This window comes from Homo sapiens, chromosome 2 (genome assembly GCF_000001405.40).
Source record: "Homo sapiens chromosome 2, GRCh38.p14 Primary Assembly".
Taxonomy (NCBI): Eukaryota; Metazoa; Chordata; class Mammalia; order Primates; family Hominidae; genus Homo; species Homo sapiens.
In genome coordinates, this window is record NC_000002.12 from 203272070 (window position 1) to 203296574 (window position 24505).

The following is a 24505-nucleotide window of genomic DNA, read 5'->3' on the forward strand; positions in this document are numbered from 1 at the left end:
CCTTTTTCTTCTCCCTACTCCTTTTAGAGAAAAGGAATTTTTCACTTTCCATTTCTTATTAGTTTGAAAGTGCCTTGACTGAAGTCATCAAAATATATTTGTACCCTCCCCTCTGAAACTGTGGAGTAAAGGATTGTGCAGCCAGTTGAGAGGGAGAGCTTAATTATTAGATTTGTTGGTGAGGAGAGTTCCTGCTGGGTAGGTGGCTCACGCCTGTAATCCCAACACTTTGGGAGACTGAGATGAGAAGATCACTTGAGCTCAGGAGTTCAAGAACAGCCTGAGAAACATGGTGAAACCCGTCTCTACAAAAAATAGAAAAATTAGCTGGCGTTGGTGGCACACAACTGTAGTCCCAGCTACTTGGGAGGCTGAGGTGGGAGAATGGCTTGAGCCTGGGAGGTGGAGGTTGCAGTGAGCTATGATCGTGCCATTGCAATCCAGCACTCTAGCCTAGGTGACAGAGCCGGAACCCTGACTCAAAAAAAAAAAAAAAAAAAAAGAGTTAAAGAGTTCCTAAGTCATTAGGTTACATTGCTCTGTATTATTTTTAAAATTCTACCTATTAGATAATAGTTATGTATATTTACCTATTTTCAGGTTTGGTCTGAGATTGGAAAAGGCTTTCTAGATGGGTCACTTGATAAAAACATGACTCGGAAAAAACAATATGAAGATGGTAAGTTTGGTCACTTAATTTTTAGTGAGGACAAAAAATAAATGTGCCCCAGTTTTAATAAAGTAATCTCTGAATAGTGAGATTAAAGGTCATTTATATTTTCTTTTTTTTTTTTTTTGAGACAGAGTCTCGCTCTGTTGCCAGGCTGGAGTGCAGTGGTGCGATCTCGGCCACAGCAACCTCCGCCTCCCAGGTTCAAGCAATTCTCCTGCCTCAGCCTCCCGAGTAGCTGGGACTACAGGTGGGTGCCACCACGCCCAGCTAATTTTTGTATTTTTAGTAGAGACAGGGTGTCACCCTGTTGGCCAGGATGGTCTCGATCTCTTGACCTTGTGATCTGCCTGCCTCGGCCTCCCAAAGTGCTGGGATTACAGGCATGTGCCACTGTGCCCGGCCTATATTTATTTTCTTTCTTTATGCTTTTTTCTATATTTTCTACAATGAAAGTTTTCTTTAACAGAAGCGAGGAAAAATAAGTTAGTAAAAGAAACTCTAGCACAGACTGCAGAATGAGAGTGTTGTAGAGCTGGTATACTCTACAGGATTAATGGAAAGTATAAGTGTACAATCTTAAGAAAGCAGTTTAATAATGCATACTAAGAACCATAAATAATGGATGAAATTATATGAAAGAAGACAATATTCATGAAGATATTTTTGTAGTACTGTTTCTGCAAGTAGAAAACCAGGAACAAACTAAAGGTTCAACATTATAGGAATTAGTAGGGAAATGTCAACATGATTAAATATTACGGATATTTATAAAAAATGGCGGCCATGGCAGCACATGCCTGTAGTCCCAGCTACTTGGGAGGCTGAGATGAGAGGATCACTTCAGCTCAGGATTTTGAGACCAGCCTGGGCAATGTAGTGAGAGACCCCATCTCAAAAAATTTAAAAAATTAGCAACATAGGCCCAGTGCGGTAGCTCACACCTGCAATCCCAGCACTTTGGGAGGCTGAGGTAGGCAGATTACTTGAGGCCAGGAGTTCGAGACCAATCTAGCCAACATAGTGAAACCCTACCTCTACTAAAAAAATACAAAACATTAGCCGGGTGCAGCAGCGCACACTTGTAATCCCAGCTACTCAAAAGGCTGAGGCATGAGAACCGCTTGAACCCTGGAGGCAGAAGTTGCAGTGAGCTGAGATCGTGCCACTGCACTCCAGCCTTGGTGAGAGAGTGAGACTCTTATCTCCAAAAAATAAAAAATAAAAAATTAGCATCCTAAAAAATTCTTGCCATTATAACATTGAATAAAAATATTTTCAATGTTGTTTGGCATTGATTTCAACTTTATACAATTTACACAGAAAAATAGCAATTTTAATGTAATGTAGTACCCCCAAATTAATTATTCTCCCTTATTATTTTTTTGTTCTGTATTCTCTGTCAGTGGTTGAATAATTATAAAGCTTTAATACTTTTTTTTAAAATAATTTTTTTTTTTTTTTGAGACAGAGTCTCACTCTGTTGCCCAGACTGGAGTGCAGTGGTGCGGTCACGGCTCACTGCAACCTCTGCCTCCTGGATTCAAGCGATTCTTCTGCCTCAGCCTCCTGAGTAGCTGGGATTACAAGCGCCTGCCACCATGCCCGGCTCATTTTTGTATTTTCAGTAGAGATGGGGTTTCGCCATGTTGGCCAGACTGGTCTTGAACTCCTGACCTTGGGTGATCCGCCCGCCTCAGCCTCCCAAAGTGCTGGGATTACAGGTGTGAGCCACCACGTCCGGCCAATACTTTTATTCTAAGCTACCTCAATTCATTTTTTTGGAAGCATGCAGGATAAATTAAAATACAGAGGCTGCATTAGAATACTGGATTGTTTTCTATACATTATAGTATTGCTTCACAGGATTCTCTTTCTTCATCCTTTCAACAAACATTTATTGAGGCTGTGCTAGGCCCTATTCTGTGCACAGGAGACAAAAATCCCTGTCCTCATTAGCTTACTGTTTTAGTGATTTTCTTGGTCCAACAGAAGTAAAAAAAGAAAAAAAAAAGCCAGTTTAATTGACACATTTCCTGCTATCTGGTTTTTATGACCATTATGATTATCTTGATCAATGCGTTTGGATTAATTCCCCTTGATAAAAAATGTATTTCAGAAATATTGGTTAAATTAACATGAAATGAAAATAATTTATATTCTTTGATCCTAAATAAATTGTCTGGCATAATGTGTTCCTTGGGCTGTAACATGGGCATAAATCAAATTTGAGCTTTTATTAGAAATGATTATGTTCTAGTATTTATAAAAATGGGATGCCATGACTGGATCAGAGCTTCCTTTGTTTAATTCCCAACCTGCTTTGCACATTAGAATCAGTTGGAGAACTTAAAGCACAAAACCTGAAGATCAGACCTTATCCTAGACCAGTTTATTCAGAATCTGAGATCAGGGTGTCGTGGGCATCAGGTATTTTTGTAAAGGCTCTCCAGATTATTCTAATGTACTTGTAGGGTTGAGAATGTACAACAGTAGTTCCCAAACTTTGCTACACATTGAATCTTTTTAAAAATATTGAAGCCTGACTCCTACCTGTAAACATTCAGATTTAATTGACATGACGTGTGACTTGTGCTTTACTGTTGTTTGAAAAAACTTCTCAGGTGATTCTAATGTGCAGCAAAGCCTGGGAACAACTTCTTTATAGTGTTAATAATTTCTTATTTTCTTTTCTTTTTTTTTGTTTTTTTTTGAGACTGAATCTCGCTCTATTGCCCAGGCTGGGTGAGATTGCAGTGGCTCAATCTCAGCTCACTGCAACCTCTGCCTCCCGGGTTCAAACGATTCTCGGGCCTCAGCCTCCCAAGTAGCTGGGATTACAGACGCCTGCCGCCGTGCTCAAATAATTTTTATAGTTTTAGTACAGACGGGGTTTCACCATGTTGGCCAGGCTTGTCTCAAACTCCTGACTTCAAGTGATCCACCCACCTCGGCCTCCCAAAGTGCTGGGATTACAGGCGTGAGCCACCGTGCCTGGGAATAATTTCTCATTTTAATCACTAATGTGTATTATATTGATTCAATTCTATAAATATTTAATGTAGATCTGTGATATCCTGGCATGTTTTAGATGCTGAGGAACCTAAACAAAATTTCTTGCCCTTGTGGCACCACATTCTAGTGGGAAGAGACAGACAGTAATCTAAATAAGTAAACTGAATAGTACATTAAAAGGTGAAAAATGCTGTAGACAAAAATAAAACCAGAAGGGGATAGGGAGTGCCGGGGGTTGGGAGATTGCAATTTTAAGTAATTATTAGGAAAGGCCTCACCAAGATGAGGTGACTTTTGAGTAAACACTTGCAAGAGATGAAACCACTCATGCAGAACATGTGGATACCCAGATGTTCAAAGGAAGAATATTCCATGTAGAGGAAAAGTAATTACAGAGTCCTTGAAGTAGGACTCTGCTGCTGTATTTGAAGTACAACAGGAAGGCCAGTATGGCTGGAATGAAGTGAGTGAGAAGAGGAGCAGAAGATGAGGTCAGAAAGACTGGAGACAGGAATGGGTTTTGTATGGCTTACAGACCATTGTGTGACTAGGTTGTTACTATGAGGTAGGAAGCCACTGGCAGGTTTTGAGCAGAGTTACCATCTGAGTTATGTTACAAAAGGATCACTTTGACTGGTATGATAGACTGTATGGGTCCAGAGCAAAAGCAGGGAAACTAGTTAGAAGGCTGCTGCAATAAACCAGGCATGAGAGATAATGTGGCTTGGACCAAGTGGCAGGCAACAGGAAATATAGAACAAGAAAAAAAAAAGGAGGAAGAAAATAATTTGGTACTTTGAGGGTAGACCTACCAACACTGGCTGACAGATTAAAATTAGGGTATAAGGGAGAGGGAGACACCAAGGTTTTTGGCCTAGTTGCAAAAGGAGGTTGTCGGGAAATAAGATGGGGAAGACTATGGGAAGATCCAGGATTTGGGGGAAAGCTCAAGAGTTCAGTGTTTGGTATGCTTCAGACAACCAAGTGCAGAGGTTGAGTTTGTTATTAGAGTTAGATACATGAGTCTGGAGCTGAAGAGAAAGAAGTCCTGACTAGAAATACAGATTTGGAAGTGCACGGTACATATATTGCACTGAAAGCCTTGAGATTAGAGATCACCAGGTAGTGAATATAGATAGAAAAAGGAAAGAGGTCCCAAAACAGCCCTGTCCTTGAGCATTTCATTACTGAGAAATTCAAGAGATTGAAAAAGAATCAAAAAAGGAGACAGAATGAGCAGGCAGTAAAGTGGGAGGGAAGTGTGGAGTCTAGGGGAGTATAGTCCTGGGAACCACATGAAAAAGTGTTTCTTGGCCGGGCGTGGTGGCTCATGCCTGTAATCCCGGCACTTTGGAAGGCTGACATGGGCGGATCACAAGGTCAGGAGATGGAGACCATCCTGGCTAACACGGTGAAACCCCGTCTCTACTAAAAATATAAAAAATTAGCCGGGCGTGGTGGCACACGCCTATAGTCCCAGCTACTCAGGAGGCTGAGGCAGGAGAATCGTTTGAACCCGGGAGGTGGAGGTTGCAGTAAGCTGAGATTGCGCCACTGCACCCCAGCCTGGGTGACAGAGGAACACTCTGTCTCAAAAAAAAAAAGAAAAAGAAAAAGTGTTTCTTGGAGAATACGTTATCAACATCATCAGTGATATGATAGGTCAAGTAAGATGAAGACTGAAACATTTGTGTATAATTTTATGGGCCATTGGATATCAGTTATTGATATCTTTTAGGTTTTTATTTTATATATTTATTTATTTAGAGATAAATAAAATATTTATTTATTTATTCTCTCGCCCAGGCTGGAGTGAAGTGGCACAATCTTGGCTCACTGCAACCTCTGCTGCCCAGGTTCAAGCGATTCTCCTGCCTCAGCCTCCTGAGTAACTGAGATTACAGGTGCCTGCCACTGAGCCCACCTAATTTTTGTATTTTTAGTAGAGATGGGGTTTTGCCATCTTGGCCAGGGTGGTCTTGAACTCCTGACCTCGTGATTCACCTGCCTCGGCCTCCCAAAGTGCTGGGATTACAGGCATGAGCCACTGCGCCCAGCCTCTTTTAGGTTTTTAGAAATTTGCTTTTCTGATTATCTCACATCTGTTTCTATCCCTAAATAAGTGATTCCTGATTTGGGAGAAGGAATGGAGTTAAGAAGACAGAATTTAGAAGGAAGGTGGATGATATCAGAGAAGAAAGGCTTATGTGTTTGGAGGCCTCTAAAGTGCTGGTATTAGGCCAGGTGCGGGTGGCTCACGCCTGTAATCCCAGCACTTTAAGAGGCCGAGGCGGATGGATTGCTTGAGCCCAGGAGTTTGAGACCGGCCTGGCCAACATGGTGAAACCCCGTCTCTACCAAAAATACAAAAATTAGCTGGGCGTGGTGGCATGTCTGTAGTCCCAGCTACTTGGGAGGCTGAGATGGGAGAATCACCTGAGCCTGGGAAGTCAAGGCTGCAGTAAGCCAAGATCACACCACTACACTGCAGCCTGGGCAACAGAGCAAGACTGTGTCTCAAAAATAAAAGAAAAAGTCAAGTGCTGGCATTGCTCTACTTCTTGACCTAGGTGGTTGGTGGTGATTTATAATTATTCCTTAAACTGTACTTACATGCTTTGTGCACTTTTTTGTATGTATGTTAAATTTGGCAAAAAAGGAAGAAAATGATGAGTTTAAACATAAATTAGCTTTCTTTGTTGTTGGTTACTAACTTTGAAGGTTTTCTTCATATAGTAACATTGCACAGAATTATTTTTTTAAAGTTCAGTCTCCACTAATGCTTGTATTCTAAAATTATTTTGTTTTTTTCTCTAAGCCCTCATGCAACTGGAGTCTGTTTTAAGGAACATCATAAAAGAACGAAAAGGAAGGAACTTCAGTCAACATATTTTCATTGACTCCTTAGTACAAGGGAACCTTAATGACCAACAGGTGATATAATTGTTAAATGTTTATCAGGTAAAAAAATAAGCCAGAGCCAGGCACAATGGCTCATGACTGTAGTCCCAGCTACTTGAGAGGGTGAGGTGGGAGGATCACTTGAACCCAAGAGATCAAGGCCAACTTGGGCAATATAGCAAGACGCCATCTATAAAAAATAATGATAATCACACATATATACAGTGTGCTTTTCATTCACTTTAATCCAGATACCCTCCTAGAGTTCAGTGGCTTAAGAGAAGCATCATACATGTTTTTTTGGGTTTTTTGTTGTTGTTGTTGTTTTGAGATGGAGTCTCGCTATGTCGCCCGGCTGGAGTGCAGTGGCACGATCTCTGCTCACTGCAACCTCCACCTCCTGGGTTCAAGCGATTCTCCTGCCTCAGCCTCCCAAGTAGCTGGGACTACAGACGCGCACCACCACGCCCAGATAATTTTTCTGTATTTTTAGTAGAGACGGAGTTTCACCTTGTTGGCCAGGATGGTCTCTATCTCTTTCACATCATGATCCACCCGCCTTGGCCTCCCAAAGTGCTGGGATTACAGGTGTGAGCCACTGCACCCAGCTGCATCGTACATCTTTTATTGTACATCATTGGTAGTACAAGTACTTGGTCTCTATTATTTAGCTCTTTGAGGCAGCTGTATATTATTTAATATTATTAAATTGAGCCAAAATTCTTGAATTACAAAAGAGGAGAAGGACTTGTGTTAGGTGTATTAGACTAAATCACTTTGCCTGCTTGACCAGGTGTGGCAGTGTGGCTTGTTGACAATACTGCCAACATACCACTGCATTTGTGGTATTGTCAGGCCAGTGAGGTGAGTTGTTATTGCCACACCTCTTCATTGTAGGAATCTTCTGCCTCACTATACACATGCAAGTCCTTGTAGCCAGAAGTAGTTTGATATATGTTGGTGCAGAAATTGAATTTGGCTTCCAGGACAGGGATGAGATCTTCTGTCCTATTTCTGAGGCTTCATTGCTGTTTACTAGGCTAAGCCAGAAAAATAGGACCGAGTTTGTTTACCAAAGTAGATCATGAACCAGTAATACTCACAACAAATACCCTGATTTGATCATTACATGTTGTATACATGTACCGAAAATCACTTGTACTCCCAAAATACATACAACTATAGTTCATCAATTTTAAAAATATTTTTAAAAAGCAGTGTGGTATTTAGGTTGGTATTCACATTATACAGATTTGGTTTTTTGTTTTAGTGAAAACATCAAAATGAAATAATATACTTTTTTTTTCATTGACACTAATTTTATGCTGTAGATTATTTTAGCAGGGCCTAATATAGGCTACCTTACATTTTTCACACTTTCTAAACTTAGTTTTGTTTCCTAGATCCTAGAAGACAGTATGATATTTTCTCTGGCCAGTTGCATAATAACTGCAAAATGTAAGTATAAATTGATTTCTTTTTCAGAGGAATTACTAAATATATAGGCTGAGCACAGTGGCTCACACCTGTAATCCCAACACTTGGGGAGGCTGAGGTGGGAGATTGCTTGAGGCCAGGAGTTGGAGGCCAGCTCAGAAAACAGAGACCCTCTCTACAAAAAAAATAAGTTAACTGAGCATGATGGCCCGTGCCTGTAGTCTCAGCTGCTCAAGAGGATGAATCACGAGGATGGAGGCTACAGTGAACTGTGATTGTGCACTCCAGCCTGAAAACAGAGTGAGACCCTGTCTCAAAAAAAACAAGGCCAGGCATGGCAACTCACACCTGTAATCCCAGCACTTTTTGGGAGGCCAGGGCAGGAGGATCACTTGAGCCCAGGAGTTCGAGACCAGTCTGGGCAACATAGTGAGACCTCGTCTCTGCTAAAAATAACAATTAGCTGGGTGTGGTGGCGCATGCCTGTGGTTGCAGCCACTCGGGAAGCTGAGGCAGGATCATCACTTGAGCCCAAGAGATTGAAGCTGCAGTGAGTGATGGTCACACTATTGCATTCCAGCCTGGGCAACAGAGCAAGACTGTCTCAAAACAAACAAACAAAAATAAAACACTGTTTAGAGGACTTCTTTATAATTTTTCCCTCTTTTTTAGTCTTGTTTTAAAGGGCTGACTCACATAAGTGCTTTTTTTCTTAACCCCAAGTGCTTAAAGCCACCTCTGAAAATTGCCATAAATTTCTTGACACATTTTATGGATTGTGAATTCTTGTTAGTGCCTTTAAAATGAACTGCTGTTGACACCTTTCCAACCAAAACAGTGAGCTTTTCATTTCCTGCTGCTGCTTTCCACTTTGACTCCAAGCTAGTCTGCTATTACTAAGGTCTACCAACAAGAGTATATAGGCCACAGAAATCACGATTTAAAAGAACTCCTCTCGTTGGAATTGAAGGTGATTTTTATGTAAAATTGTAAAATATTTGATATGTTTCTAAGTTTCCTCACTTGGTTTTTAGATTGGTGGAGTACCATTTATTTATACAGTATTTATAAAAAATACTTCAATAGGCATAAAAATACACTAAGATAAAAATACTTAAAGGAAGTATTAGGGGACCAGGCAAGGTGGCTCACAGCTATAATGCCAGCACTCTGGGAGGCCGAGGTGGATGAATCACTGGAGCCCAGAAATTTGGGACCAGCCTGGGCAACACAGCGGAAACCCATCTCTATAAAAAATTCAAAAATTAGCCAGGCCTGGTGGCACACACTTGTAATCCCAGTTATGTAAGGAAGGCTAAGGTGGGAGGATCACCTAAGCCCAGGAGGTTGAGGTTGCAGTGAGCCATGATTGCACCACTGGACTGCAGCCTGGGTGACAGAGTGAGACCCTGTCAAAAAACAAAAGGAGGCCAGGCATGGTGACTCATGCCTGTAATCCCAGCACTATGGGAGGCTGAGGTGGGCAGATCACAAGGTCAGGAGTTCGAGACCAGCCTGACCAACATGGTGAAACCCTGTCTCTACTAAAAATACAAAAATTAGCCAAGTGTGGGGGCACATGCCTGTAATCTCAGCTACTGAGGAGGCTGAGGCAAAAGAATCGCTTGAACCCCAGAGGCAGAGGTTACAGTGAGCTGAGATCGCACCACTGCACTCCAGCCTGGGTGACAGAGCGACACTCTGTCTCAAAAAAAAACAAAAAACAAAAGGAAGTATTAGGACATGAATTTAAATTTTAGAAAATTTGTGTTCACTTGAAGGATTTCATTTATATCCCTCAATGTTTAAGGAAGCTTTCTTTAAAAGGATACAAATGTAAACGTCCCATAAATTTTTCTTCTTTAACATATAGAAATGTCCAGATACTATAGATGACTAAATTGAATTTAGGTAAGCATATGTCAAAAATAATGTATTCAACCTTTTTTTTTTTTTTTTTTTGAGACGGAGTTTTGCTCTTGTCACCCAGGCTGTAGTGCAATTGCGCGATTTCAGGTCACTGCAACCTCCACCTCCTCGATTCAAGTGATTCTCCTGCCTTAGCCCCCTGAGTAGCTGGGATTACAGGCGCCTGCAACTATGCTTGGCTAATTTTTGTATTTTAAGTAGAGACCATGTTGGCCAAGCTGGTCTTGAACTGACCTCAGGTGCTCCACCTGCCTCGGCCTCCCAAGGTGCTAGGATTACAGTCGTGAGCCACCACGTCCTGCCTTATTCAACCTTTTTTTAAAAATGCCTATTTGTTTGGTCCAGTGGTGCACACTTGTCCCAGCTACGTTGGAGGCTGAGGTGGGAGGATTGCGTGAGCCCCAGGAGTTTGCCTAACTTGGGCAATAAAACAAGACCCCAGCTTAAAAAAAATTAGTATAAAAATAGATTTAAAATCCTTGTTTTTAAAACGCATTACATTAAACCTAATATGTCTTTGCTAAAGACCTTTAAAAATCTAAATCACTTGTGCTCCGGACACCAAGAAAAGTGACTATTTCCAAGGTTGAATTAATATTTTAATCTTATTTTCAGTTTTTAGGGAGATTTTAGGAGTATTGCTATGTATTTGGATGTAGGTTAGTGGTTTTTTAAGTCTCCTCCGAAGTTTTTGAGAGAGTAGATAAATAAGAAACCTTAATAAGTCCTTACTCTGCCCCTTATTAGCCTTGGGCAAGATACTTATCTCTGCATTTTCCTCCTTTTCTAAAATAGGAGTTTAGCTCCAGATGACCTTCCAAGTTATCTCTAAGCTATGAAATTGTGTCTGATTCAGTATTGTATTTAAAACACATTAAGTGGCTTAAAATCACATTTTAAAGCTATTTTCAGTCATCATTTTTAAGAGTCCTACAAAGGAACCAGTGTGACAGGCTGGGCAATATAGTGGGACACAATCTCTACAAAAAAAATAATAAATTGTAGTTAGCTGTGCATGGTGGCATGTGCCTGTAGTCCCAGCTACTTGGGAAGCTGAGGTGGGAGGATCAATTTAGCCAGGAGATCAAGGCCTCAAGTGAGCTGTGATCACTACCACTGCACTCCAGCCTGGGTGACAGAGTGTGACCCTATCTAAAAAAAAACCCACAAACCAAAAGTCAATGTGAGAATTTTTTTTTTTTTTTTTTTTTTTGAGGCAGAGTCTCACTCTGTCGCCCAGGCTGGAGTGCAGTGGTGCAATCTCGGCTCACTGCAACCTCCACCTCCCAAGTTCAAGCGATTCTCCTGCCTCAGCCTCCCAAGTAGCTGGGACTACAGGCGCCCACTACCACACCTGGCTAATTTTTTGTATTTTTAGTAGAGACGAGGTTTCACTGTGTTGGCCAGGCTGATCTCGAACTCCTGACCTCGTGATCTGCCCGCCTTGGCCTCCCAAAGTGCTGAGATTACAGGCGTGAGCCACCACACCCAGCCAATGTGAGATTATTAAATTCATATTGTTATATTAATTTTTTTTTTTTTTTTTGAGACTGAGTCTTGCTCTGTCACCAGGCTGGAGTGCAGTGGCGCCATCTCGGCTCACTGCAACCTCTGCCTCCCGGGTTCAAGCAATTCTCCTGCCTCAGCCTTCCAAGTAGCTGGGACTAGAGGCGCGTGCCACCATGCCCAGCTAATTTTTGTATTTTTAGTAGAGACAGGGTTTCACCATGTTGGCCAGGATGGTCTCGTTCTCTTGACCTTGTGATCTGCCCGCCTCGGCCTCCCAAAGTGCTGGGATTACAGGTGTGAGCCACTGCATCCGGCCTGTTATATTAATTTTAAGTGATAATATAGTCAAGCAGAGTACAGGATTGACCACTGTGTGCAAATCTTTGTGGTGACTCCTTCAGTTGTATATTACTCTATGTTGTAAAATTGTGTGACATACATATTGTACACTGCACAAGTTTTCACATCACTTGTAAAATAGCAATTCTACAGTTCACTCAGAAGCCATAATGAAGAGGCATATGTAGGGAAAAGTTAAGGACAGGCAGTCACTCATGTTTTTTGTGAACTCTAGATATAAGAAAACTAATCAGAGTAATTGAGTACCAGGTTACTACTGATTTTAATGGTAACAATATTGGTAATAAGGTGAATCAGGCAAACTTTTTTTTATAAATTAACTTTGAGATAAGTTTAAGTTAACCCTTAGCGCAGGAAAGAGATCATTGGTAAGTAAAGTACAAGTTACTAGAAGGATATTAAAAAGTATTTGACACAGGAACAATAGAGCTACAGATGGTGTCAGCTCAAACATATTCTAGGGAAAGAGGTAGTATATATGTTCAGAAGTTTCCATTCTTTTAATAGTTATAATCCCAGTGTATTACTAAAGGAAATATAACTACTCTTTTTCCTCTGTTTTTTTCTCAACATGTAATTTCTTTACATTTTCATTTCTTCTGGTTTTTTTCTCAACATGTAATTTCTTTACATTTTCATTTCCTCAGTGAATACAATCCATAAACCAGTTTAAGCTAAAGTAAGCCATGAGCCAGTGATCTTCCCATTTTGGCGTTGAGATAAATTCGATATTCCATTTGTTAAAAGTACAGATGTTTGGACATTACCACAAACCTACTGAACCAGAATTTGTGAATGTGAGGTTATAGCATCAGCCATCTCCCAGGTGGTTTTTGAGAACCACTGCTTTTTTTTTTTTTTTTTTTTTTTTTTGAGACAGGATCTCACTTGATTGCCCAGGGTGGAGTGCAGTGGCACGGTCACAGCTCACTGCAGCCTCAACCTCCTGGGCTCAAGTGATCATCCCATCTCAGTCTCCCAAGTAGCTGGGACTATAGGCACACACCACCACACCCAGCTGATTTTTGAGTTTTTTGTAGAGATGGGGTTTTGCCATGTTGCCCAGACTAGTCTTGAACTCCTGAGCCTACGCAATCCCCCAGCTTCAGATTCCCTCCCAAAGTGATCCCCTCCGTGTGATCCCCTCCCGAAGTGCTGGGGTTACAGGTGTGAGCCACCACGTCTGGTTGAGAACTGTTCTAAGCAATAACCACTCACAAATTTTGAGCCAGTGTATTTACCATCACAAGTAAATATTTTAGAATATTGATTTATCGATAAATCTGCTAGCTTGATTTGTCTGAATTATTTCATTAGTGCTCCTAAGTGAACTGATAAATCGGCCTAATAAGGTTGAGTGCATGAGATAATCCATTGCAACAGCCAACATTGAGCACTCCTACAGATATGATATTTATTTATTATCATAACTATTTTACCTAAGGTAAAATTAAGTGGCTCCAGTTACTTACCAGTTTTAAGAAAGAAGGCATCCAGATTGCACTATGTCTGTTGGAGGGCATTCTGTAAATATTGATGTTCCATATAATATAAACCCTGTGAAGAATTTTACTTTTTAGTAGCACTTATATATCTTCTATATCATGGGAGAAAAAAAGCAAATACAAAAATCCCACCCTAAATAAGTAGTTTTTTTCTTATTCTATACCCAAGCCATGAGTTAGCTATTTTCATTGTTATTCATATAATGTTTGACCTAGTGTGTACCTGGGCAATCTGTTTTTTAACCACCTCTGAAGAAGTTCAAAAAAAATTATATGAAGAGATAAACCAAGTTTTTGGAAATGGTCCTGTTACTCCAGAGAAAATTGAGCAGCTCAGGTAAGAACACAATAAAAAGAGGAGATTATTAAAAGGTAAATTTGAACTGGTTTATCTAATTTAAAGCTATTGTTGCTATCTAGGAAAGCTACATATTTTTATAGGACTTAAAGTATTTATATGTAGATTTTATTAGGTAAATGAATCTGCTTTTTAAAATCATAAGGTTGTGTGGGAAATGTTTAACTTAGCCTGTGAAATAGTACTAATGAAGTCAAGCAAGTATGACACTCATACTTTGTTGATGGTCATAAAAAATAGACAGCCACATTAGATAATAATATAGTAGGCTTGACCGGGCGTGGTGGCTCACACCTGTAATCCCAGCACTTTGGGAGGCCAAGGTAAGTGGATCACTTAAGCCTAGTAGTTCAAGGCCAGCTTGGGCAACACGGAAATGCAAAATATTGGCCAGATGTGCTGGGACGTGCCTGTAGTCCAAGCTACTCAGGAGGCTTAGGTGGGAGGATCACCTCAGCTCAGGAGGTCGAGGCTACAGTGATTGCATCACTGCACTCCAGCCTGGGTTACAGAGCAAGACCCTGTCTCAAAAGAAAAGAAAACAATAGAAAACAATATGATAGGCTCTTAAAAAGTTCAACATACACTTATATGACCCAGCAGTTCCACTCCTTGGAATTTCATTCAAGATAAATGAAAACATGACTACACAAAGTCCTGTTTGCATATATTCATAGCAAATTGGAAGTAGTTCAAATGTTCAACTGGTAAATAGATAAACAAATTGTGGTATTACCATACCATAGAATACTACCAAGTAATAAAAAGGAACACCGTATCAATACACACAACAACACAGATGAATCTTAGTGATTTAAGGGAAAGAAGTGAAACATAAAATACTGGCTACTATATGATTTCCTTTGTGTGAAATTCTAGAAAAGGCAAACTGTGGTGATAAAAAGCATACTGTTGGAGGCTAGGAATGGGGATCAACTACAAAGGGGCATGAAGAAAATGAAACTATCATATATTACTTGTGGTTGTAGTTACGCAATTGTATACAATTACTAAAATTCAAACCGTACAGGTAAAATGGGTTAATTTTATTGCATATAACTATACCTTAATTTAATTTTTTTTTAATTGCAACTGTGATTGCTTCTGGGTTAGAAGTCTGAGACTGGGTAGCAAGCAACCCTATCTTGGAGCATAAAATCAACTATAGAAAAGATAGAGTGGCTGGGCGCAGTGGCCCACACCTGTAATCCCACCAATTTGGGAGGCCAAGGTAAGAGGATCACCTGAGCCCAGGAGTGCAAGACCAGCCAGAGCAACATGGCAAAACCCTATCTCTAAAAAAAAAATACAAAAAATTAGCCAGGGATGGTGGTGCATGGCTGTAGTCCTAGCTACTCAGGAGGCTGATATAGGAGAATCACCTGAGCCCAGGAAGTCCAGGCTGGAGTGAGCTACGATCACACCACTACACTCCATCCTGGTGACAGTGAGACCCTATCTCAAAAAAAAAAAAAAAAAAAAAAAAGAAAAGATAACCACTGGAAAGAACTAGGAGGCTTTTAAATGTTGGAAGTTTTATTTATTACATTGACTGTAACTATTATTTTAAAAGTAATACTAGTTGTCTTTTGAAGTTTTTATCATACCGAAGTGTATGAAGTAGAAGGTGAGGTTCCTTTGTAAATGTGCCCTTAAGCCCGTAACAGTTGGGCTAGGCGCAGTGACTCATGCTTATAATCCCAATAATTTGGGAGGCTGAGGCTGGAGGATTGCTTGAGCCCAGGAGTTTGAGACCATTCACGGCAACATAGTGGGAGCCTGTCTCTACAAAATATTTAAAAATTAGCCAGACATAAAGGCATGTGCCTATGGTTACAACTACTAGGGAGGCTGAGGTGGGAGGATCACTTGGGCCTGGGAGGTTGAGGCTGCAGCATGATAGAGTGTCACTGCACTCCAGCCTGGGCAACAGAGCAAGAACCTATCTCTTAAAAATAAGTAAATAAATAATTTTTAAAAGTTTAAGCTCTAATATAGCTTATGAAGCATTTCAAAAGCTGGGCCTTGTGTACTCCCACCTTATCCTCACTTGTGCCTCTTCATAGCTTTCAGTTTAGCTCTACTCAAAGTCTTTAGTTTCTTATCTCCTGTCCTGGCTTTTGCACAAACTACTCCTCTGTATAGATTCTCTTTTCGTCTCTTCTTTAGTTAAGTCCGGGTTTTGGTTTTTGGTTTTGGGGTGGAGTGTTTTTTTATCGTCGGTGGTGGTTTGAGTTTTTCTTTTCTTTTTTTTTTAATGTTGTTGTTGTTGTTTGCAGGTTTCAGCCTGTGTTTATTTCTCTCTCTCTTTTTTTTTTTTTTTTTTTTTTCAGATGCAGTCCCTTTCTGTCACCCAGGCAGGATTGCAGTGGCGCAATCTCAGCTCACTGCACCCTCCACCTCCTGGGTTCAAACGATTCTCATGCCGCAGCTTTCCAAGTAGTTGGAATTACAGGCATGCACCACCACACCTAGCTATTTTTTGTATTTTTAGTAGACACAGGGTTTTACCATGTTGGCCAGGCTGGTCTCGAACTCCTGGCCTCAAGTGATCCACCCGCCTCTGGCTCCCAAAATGCTGGGATTACAGACATGTGCCACCACGCCCAGCCCAGCCTGTGTTTATTTCTCTACAAAGCCCTTTCCCTAGAGTAGCTGCTCCTACCTTATATTCCAGTAATACCCTGAACTTCCTTTATAACATGTGCTATACTTAATTGTTCATCCTTTATGTCCTATCCAATCTGCCTCCCCACTGCCAACTAGATTCTGAACCCCTTTGATGATGTATCTCTTGTTTATTGTTGTAGCTCAGTATCTAGCACAGTGCTTCACATGCAGCAGGTACGCAATAAATATTTATACAGAGGAAAGGAAGGAAGAATGTTTCCCCTTTTGATTTTGTTGTTTTTGATGTTACAAACAATTAACACTTCTGTGCTTACATCTTTACTAATATTTCCAAATATTTCTGTATAATAAGGTCCTAGAAGTGAGCTTCTAGTTGAAGGATGTATGCAGTAGGACAGTGGTTAAGATTTGAATCCTGTGACACACAACTTACCTGCTGTGTGATCTTAAATAACTGCCTCTGATTTTAATCTGTAAAATTAGAATAATAATAGTACCCATGGGTTTCTTGTAAGGATTCGATAAGATCCTGTATATAGAGCATTTAAGTGAACTGACTCATAGCAAGATTGCAATACATTTTAGTTTTTATTCTCGTTGTGATGTACACTTAAGAGTTTGATATATATTGCCAAATTATGCTTCTGAAAGGTTTTACCAGTTTATACTTCCACCAATTGGATATGAGAATGTCTTTTTCTCCATCTTTTTCTAGTAATATCTGCTCTCATTCTTTTTCATCTTTGTCAATCTGGCAAGTAAAAAAAATGCTATGATTGGCAATCTTTAAGTTGTTAATTAAGTTGAGTATCATTTCATATGTCTTCAGGCCATTTGTAAGTTTTTGTGAATTGCTTTTTGTATTCTCCGTCCCTGTTTCTATGGGATTGTTGGATTATTTTAATTACTTTTAAAGAGGTTTTATACATGAAAGATATATTTACTGAAAATATTTTTCCTAGTTATCTTTAGAAATATGTAAACAAAATGTTTCTCTAGTTAGGTTATGTATATTTTTCTTTATAATTTTCTGTCAGCTTCGTGCTAAAAATAAACTTTTTAAAAATTGTAGAAACATTATTTTGAGTTTTCTTCTGGTACTTTTAAAAGTGTTTTTATTTGTTGAAATCTTTATCTACCTAGAGTTATATACAGATTTATAACAAATCTTATAAAAATGTATTTATTTTAAAATTTATAAAATTGTTAATCTTTATGTACTTCTAATATATAACATATCTTTAAGCAGATAAGAATTATGATGGGACTATTTCAAGTTGGGAATGTTTGAGCAGTTGTTGAAGAACGTTTTTTAAATGTATGTACATTTCTAACTGCCTCCCAAAATAAACATCTTCAAAAAAAATTTTTTTAAAACAGATATTGTCAGCATGTGCTTTGTGAAACTGTTCGAACTGCCAAACTGACTCCAGTTTCTGCCCAGCTTCAAGATATTGAAGGAAAAATTGACCGATTTATTATTCCTAGAGAGGTAGAAAACCTTTAATATGTTTAATTCATTCAGCTATTCTCAACTCTTTTGGTGTGTGTGTGTGTATATATATATATATTTTAGACAGAGGTTTGCTCTTGTCACCCAGGCTGGAGTGCAATGGCGCGATCTTGGCTCACTGCAACCTCCACCTCCCAGGTTCAAGGGATTCTCCTGTCTCAGCCTCCCGAGTAGCGGGGATTACAGGCGCCCGCCACCATGGCCAGCTAATTTTTGTATTTTTAGTAGAGACGGGGTTTCACCATCTTGGCCAAGCTGGTCTTGAACTCCTGACCTCAGGTGATCTGCCAACCTTGGCCTCCCAAAGTGCTGGGATTACACACATGAGCCACTGCACCCAGCCTGGTGTGTATTTTAAATTTGTTTAAAGTGGCAAATAAATGCTACCCATTATTAAATAAAAGACACAATTATTTTAGTTACAAAATAATATGTGCTTGTTTTAAAGTTCAAGCAATATAAAAGTCTTCCTTCCCAAAAGGTACTACTGTTAGCAGTTTAGTATGTATTTTTATAGACCTATTTCTGTGTATGTATATTACTCTGTGTATATATGTATAGAAACACACATATACATATGTATTAAACAATTTATATGTGAAAAGTTACTCTTTCTATATTGTTCTTTAATTTTCTTTTATTGAATGTATCATGGCTATTAGTATACCTAGCACTTGATACAGATTTGACTCATTATTATTAATGGCTGCATAATATTCCATTGTGTGAATGTACCATGATTTATTTTTTAATTTAATTTTTTGAGACAGAGTATCACTCTGTCACCCATCCTGGAGTGCAGTTGTGCAATCTTGGCTCACTGCAACCTCCGCCTCCCGAGTTCAAGTGATTCTCCTGCCTCAGCCTCCTGAGTAGCTGGGATTACAGGCTTGTGCCACAAGGCCTGGCTGATTTTTATATTTTTAGTAGAGATGGGGTTTCACCATGTTGGCCAGGCTGGTCTCGAACTCTTGGCCTCAAGTGATCCACCTGCCTCCACCTCTCAACATGCTGGGATTACAGGCATGAGCCACCATGCCCATCTAGCATAATTTATTTAAGCAGCCCCCGCTAGTGGAAATTATGATTGACATTATTTTTTTTAATTATATACTGGTACAGGTGTTGAGTAGAGTCTGAGACACGGAGTTTTTGTGTCAAAGTCCATGTATATGTTCAGTTATTATTATTTTTAGACAGGGTCTTGCTCTGTTACCTAGGCTGGAGTGCAGTGGTGTGATTGCAGCCTCGACCTCCCAGGCTTAAGTGATCCTGCCACCTCAGCTTCCCAAGTAGCTGGACTAAATTTTTTTATTTTTTATAAAGACAGAGTCTCACTATGTTGTCCAGGCTGATATGGAACTCCTGGGCTCAAGTGATCCTCCTACCTCAGCCTCCCAAAGTGGTGAGATTATAGGCATTAGCCACTGCACTGGGCCATGTGTACGTTAAATTTAAAATGTTCTCTAAAAGGCATTTTATACTTCTAGCAACAATGTATGAGAATGTTTTTTCTTTCCAAATCCTCACTGCCTCTGAATTTGAGTCTTATGTATATTTTATGAATCTTGCTTTTCTCTGATCATTGGAGAGATAGAACAAATTTTCATACATATATTAACAGTTTGTGTTTTTCTTTTGTTAATTCTGTCTTTATAACTTTCACTCATTTTTCTAGTGAGCTTATATATATTTGTATATTATACAAATTCTGTCAATTATATAGCAAATAACTTTTACTGTTGCTTACATTTTTTTTTGTTATTGTTTTTTAACTGGATGCAGATTTTTTTTTTATACTTTAAGTTTTAGGGTACATGTGTACAACGTGCAGGTTTGTTACATATGTATACATGTGCCATGTTGGTGTGCTGCACCCATTAACTCGACATTTAACATTAGGTATATCTCCTAATGCTATCCCTCCCCGCTCCCTCCACGCCACAACAGGCCCCGGTGTGTGATGTTCCCCTTCTTGTGTCCATGTGTTCTCATTGTTCACTTCCCACCTATGAGTGAGAACATGCGGTGTTTGGTTTTTTGTCCTTGCGATAGTTTGCTGAGAATGATGGTTTCCAGCTTCATCCATGTCCCTACAAAGGACATGAACTCTGGATGCAGATTTTAAATTTTCATGTAGTTAAGTCTGTTATTCCTTTATGGTTTCTAGATTTTGTGACATGCTTAGGGAGGCCTTCCTCATTGTAAGATCACCAAAATAATCACTTGTGGTTTCTTGCATTATTTTTAAATTATTATTTTGTATTCAATATCTATATTAAAAGAAGTTTGGAATAAGTTGACTTTCTAGGAGTCATTTTATCTCTGTTAGTCCTTGACTAATTGGATTTTTTTTTTTCACAGACCCTCGTCCTTTATGCCCTTGGTGTGGTACTTCAGGATCCTAATACTTGGCCATCTCCACACAAGTATGAAATATTTGTCATTGTATTTGTGACTGTCAGTTTTTGTGTTTGCACGTTTTGCATTCCTTTCCTAACTGTTGAGTAGAAAACTCAATATGTAGCAATGATACAACAAAAGAAAACTAGTGAATCCCCTTTTCTTCTCTTTCTTTTGAGACAGGGTCTCACTCTGTCATCCAGGCTGGAATGTAATAGTGCAATCACTTCTCACTGCAGCTTCGACCTCTCTGACTCAAGCCATCCTTCTGCGTCAGCCACCTAAGTAGCTAGGACCACAGGCGCGTGCTGCCACGCCTGGTTCATTTTTGTACTTTTTGTACAGATGGGGTTTCACCATGTTGCCCAGGCTGGTCTTGAACTCCTGAGCTCAAGCCATCCTCCCACCTCTGCCTCCCAAAGTGGTGGGATTACAGGCATGAACCACCAAGCCTGACCTGCATCCCCATTATATCTTCTGTTGACTGCTTTTTCTCTTATGTGAATCTGCTATTTGCTACTCTTTGTCTCTTTTATTACCACTTTTATACTAAGTGAAAAGTAATTAACATCTGTTTTAAGAAAATTAAAGCAGGCCGGGCACCGTGGCTCATGCCTGTAATCCCAGCACTTTGGGAGGCTGAGGCGGGCGGATCACAAGGTCATGAGTTCAAGACCAGCCTGGCTAACATAGCGAAACCCTGTCTCTAATAAAAATACAAAAATTAGCTGGGCATGGTGGCGCATGCCTGTAATGCCAGCTACTCGGGAGGCTGAGGCAGGAGAATCACTTGAACCTGGGAGGCAGAGGTTGCAGTGAGCCAAGATCATGCCATTGCACTCCAGCCTGGGCAACAAGAGCAAGACACAAGACTCCGTCTCAAAAAAAATTTTTAAAAAAGCAGAATTTCTCTCTCTTTTTTTTTTTTTTTTTGAGATGGAGTCTCGCTCTGTCGCCCAGGCTGGAGTGCAGTGGTATGATCTAGTGTCACTGCAAGCTCCGCCTCCCAGGTTCAAATAATTCTCCTGCCTCAGCCGCCTCAGTAGCTGGGACTACAGGCACCCGCCACCACGCCCAGCTAATTTTGTGTAGTTTTAGTAGAGACAGGGTTTCACCATGTTAGCCAGGATGGTCTCGATCTCCTGACCTCATGATCCACCCGCCTCAGCCTCCCAAAGTGCAGGATTACAGCCACTGCGCCCGGCCTCTTTTTTTTTTTTTTCCCCAGTGCATTTTTCTGTTCTTTATTGCTTCTCTTTTTGCTTTTTTTAAATTTATTTTTTATTTCAATAGGTTTTTGGGGAACAGGTGGTATTTCTTTGGTGGTGATTTCTGAGATTTTGGTGCAACCGTCACCCAAGCAGTGTACACTGTACCCAATGTGTAGTCTTCTATCCCTCATCGCCCCACCGTTTCCCCCAAGTCCCTAAAGTCCATTGTATCATTCTTATGTCTTTACGTCCTCATACCTTAGCTCCCAAGAATTTCCCTTTTTTAAAAATTCAGAGTTTAAGTCGTTTAAAAATACTTGTTTTTGCAAGGAATTTTTTTGTTCTGTGGTACGTGGGTTATTTGTTTTGTTTTTAATATATGCATTTCTTCAATGACTTTACAGAGTGAAATTCTATAGAACAAAAAATGTTTCTTAGGCCCTTCATTTCCCTGACTTTATTTTTTATTTTTATTGTTTCTTTAGGGACAGAGACAGGGTCATGCTCTGTCACCCAGGCTGGAGTGCAGTGATGTAAACACAGGCTCACTGCAGCCTCAACCTCCTGGGCTCAAGTAATGCTCCTACCTCACCCTCCAGAGTAACTGGAACTATAGGTATACGCTACCATGCCTGGCTAATTTTTTTTAATTTTTAATTTATTTTTATTTTTATTTTTTTCGAGACAGAATCTCGCTCTATTGCCAGGCTGGTCTTGGAATAAGCAAGACGCCAACTATGAAAAATAATGGGCTGGGCACAATAACCTGTAATCCCAGCACTTTGGGAGGCCGAGGCGGGCAGATCACCTGAGGTCGGGGGTTTGAGACCAGCCTGACCAACATGGAGAAACCCCTTCTCTACTAAAAATGCAAAATTAGCCAGGTGTGGTGGCGCATGCCTGTAATCCCAGCTACTCGGGAGGCTGAGGCAGGAGAGGTGGAGGTTGCAGTGAGCCGAGGTCATGTCATTGCACCCCAGCCTGGGCAACAAGAATGAAACTCCATCTCAAAAAAATAAAAAATAAAATAAAAAATAATGATAATAATCACACATATATAGAGTACGCTTTTCATTCGCTTTAATCCAGATACCCTCCTAGAATTCAGTGGCTTAAGAGAAGCAACGTGTATCTTTTTTTTTTGGACGGAGTCTCAATCTGTTGCCAGGCTGGAGTGCAGTGGTGCAATCTTGGCTCACTGCAACCTCCGCCTCCCGGGTTCAAGCGATTCTCCTGCCTCAGCCTCCCAAGTAGCTGAGACTACAGGCATGCACCACCACGCCCAGCTAATTTTTATGTTTTTAGTAGAGACGGGGTTTCACCATGTTGCCCAGGATGGTCTCAATCTTTTGACCTCGTGATCACCTGCCTCTGCTTCCCAAAGTGCTGGGATTACAGCCTTGAGCCACTGTGCCCAGCCTTTAAAAAAATTTTTTTTTTTTTTTTTTTTTTTTTTTTTGAGACAGAGTCTCACTCTGTCGCCCAGGCTGGAGTACAGTGGCGCGATCCCGGCTCACTGCAAGCTCCGCCTCCCGGGTTCATGCCATTCTCCTGCCTCAGCCTCCCTAGTAGCTGGGACTACAGGCACCCGCCACTGTGCCCAGCTAATTTTTTTTTTTGTATTTTTAGTAGAGATGGGGTTTCACCGTGGTCTCAATCTCCTGACTTCGTGATCCGCCTGCCTCGGCCTCCCAAAGTGCTGGGATTACAGGCGTGAGCCACCGCGCCTGGCCAAAAATTTTTAATAGAGATGAGGTCTCGCTATGTTGCCCAGGCTGGTCTCGAATTCCTGGGCTCAAGCAATCCTCCCACCTTGGCGTCACAAAGTGCTAGGATTACAGGCGTGAGCCACTGTGTCCAGCCTCTCTCACCTATTAATAAATCTGGATGTAATATAATTGATAAATATAATTTTAAGGCTGGAGCCTCCAATTTTAAGACATAAATTTCAGTTGAAGAGGCAATATAAAATGTCTTACATATTGATAAGGTGGTCTCATGTAACAGGTCTTAAATTTATTTAAAAATTCATTATATGATTTTCTATGATTTATCCTTATATTTCACAAAATAATATAAACTGGTGTAACAATCTTATACCTTGGTTTTCTCGAGAAATATATTTTGCATCTATCATTTAGAAATAATAAAGTAGGCCGGGTGCCGTGGCTCATACCTATAATCCCAGCACTTTGGGAGGCCAAGGCAGGTGGATCACGACGAGGTCAAGAGATCGAGACCATCCTGGCCAACATGGTGAAACCCCGTCTCTACTAAAAATAAAAAAATTAGCTGGGTGTGGTGGTGTGCACCTGTAGTCCCAGCTACTTGGGAGGCTGAGACAGGAGAATTGCTTGAACCTGGGATGTGGTGGTTGCAATGAGCCGAGATCACGCTACTGCACTCCAGCCTGGTGACAGAACAAGACTCCGTCTCAAAAAAAGAAAAAAAAAGAGAAATAATAAAGTGCCAGTCGTGGTGGTTCACACACCTATAATCCCAGCACTTCGAGAGATTGAGGCAGGAGGATCACTTGAGCCTAGGAGTTCAAGATCAGCCTGGGCAACCTAGGGAGAACCTGTCTGTACAAAAAACTGTTAAAAGTAGCTGGGCCTGGTGGCATGTGCTTATAGTCACAGCTACTCAGGAAGCTGAGGTAGAAGGATAGTTTAAGTCCAGGAGGTCGAGGCTGCAGTGAGCCTTGATTGCACCATTGCCCTCCAGCCTGGGTGACAGAGCGAGACCCTGTCTCAAAAAATGGAATATAGTAAGAAACAGCAATAGACTAAATATATGTTAAATAATTTGGGAACATAAAAATAAGTGGCATTTAAATATAATGTAAGAGCACTTTCTATTTTCAGTTGATTTTTAACTTTGTTACATACTTGTGTTCTTTTAGTGTCAACATGTAAGATGCCAGTGGAGCTATATTGTGATTAACCTCAAATTTTCTTTGTAGGTTTGATCCAGATCGGTTTGATGATGAATTAGTAATGAAAACTTTTTCCTCACTTGGATTCTCAGGCACACAGGAGTGTCCAGAGTTGAGGTGAATAATAG

The 24505-nt window shown here is 40.4% G+C and overlaps 1 protein-coding gene across 19 annotated transcripts in view; it reads left to right on the forward strand.

Moving 5' to 3' along the window:
- Window positions 1–24505, forward strand: part of CYP20A1 (cytochrome P450 family 20 subfamily A member 1) — a 67009-nt gene that overhangs the window by 33052 nt on the left and 9452 nt on the right. For 5 of the 19 annotated variants that reach the window (NM_177538.3, NM_001371697.1, NM_001371699.1 and 2 more), the window contains 7 exons: window positions 601–679; window positions 6504–6619; window positions 7990–8044; window positions 13543–13663; window positions 17696–17807; window positions 20193–20257; window positions 24405–24494. In NM_177538.3, coding sequence (NP_803882.1) covers window positions 601–679; window positions 6504–6619; window positions 7990–8044; window positions 13543–13663; window positions 17696–17807; window positions 20193–20257; window positions 24405–24494 — 638 coding nt within the window. Of the gene's footprint in view, window positions 1–576; window positions 680–6503; window positions 6620–7989; window positions 8045–13542; window positions 13664–17695; window positions 17808–20192; window positions 20258–24404; window positions 24495–24505 lie in introns of those variants that run through there. The other 14 variants (NM_001371706.1, NM_001371702.1, NM_001371704.1 and 11 more) reach the window with 8 other exon arrangements.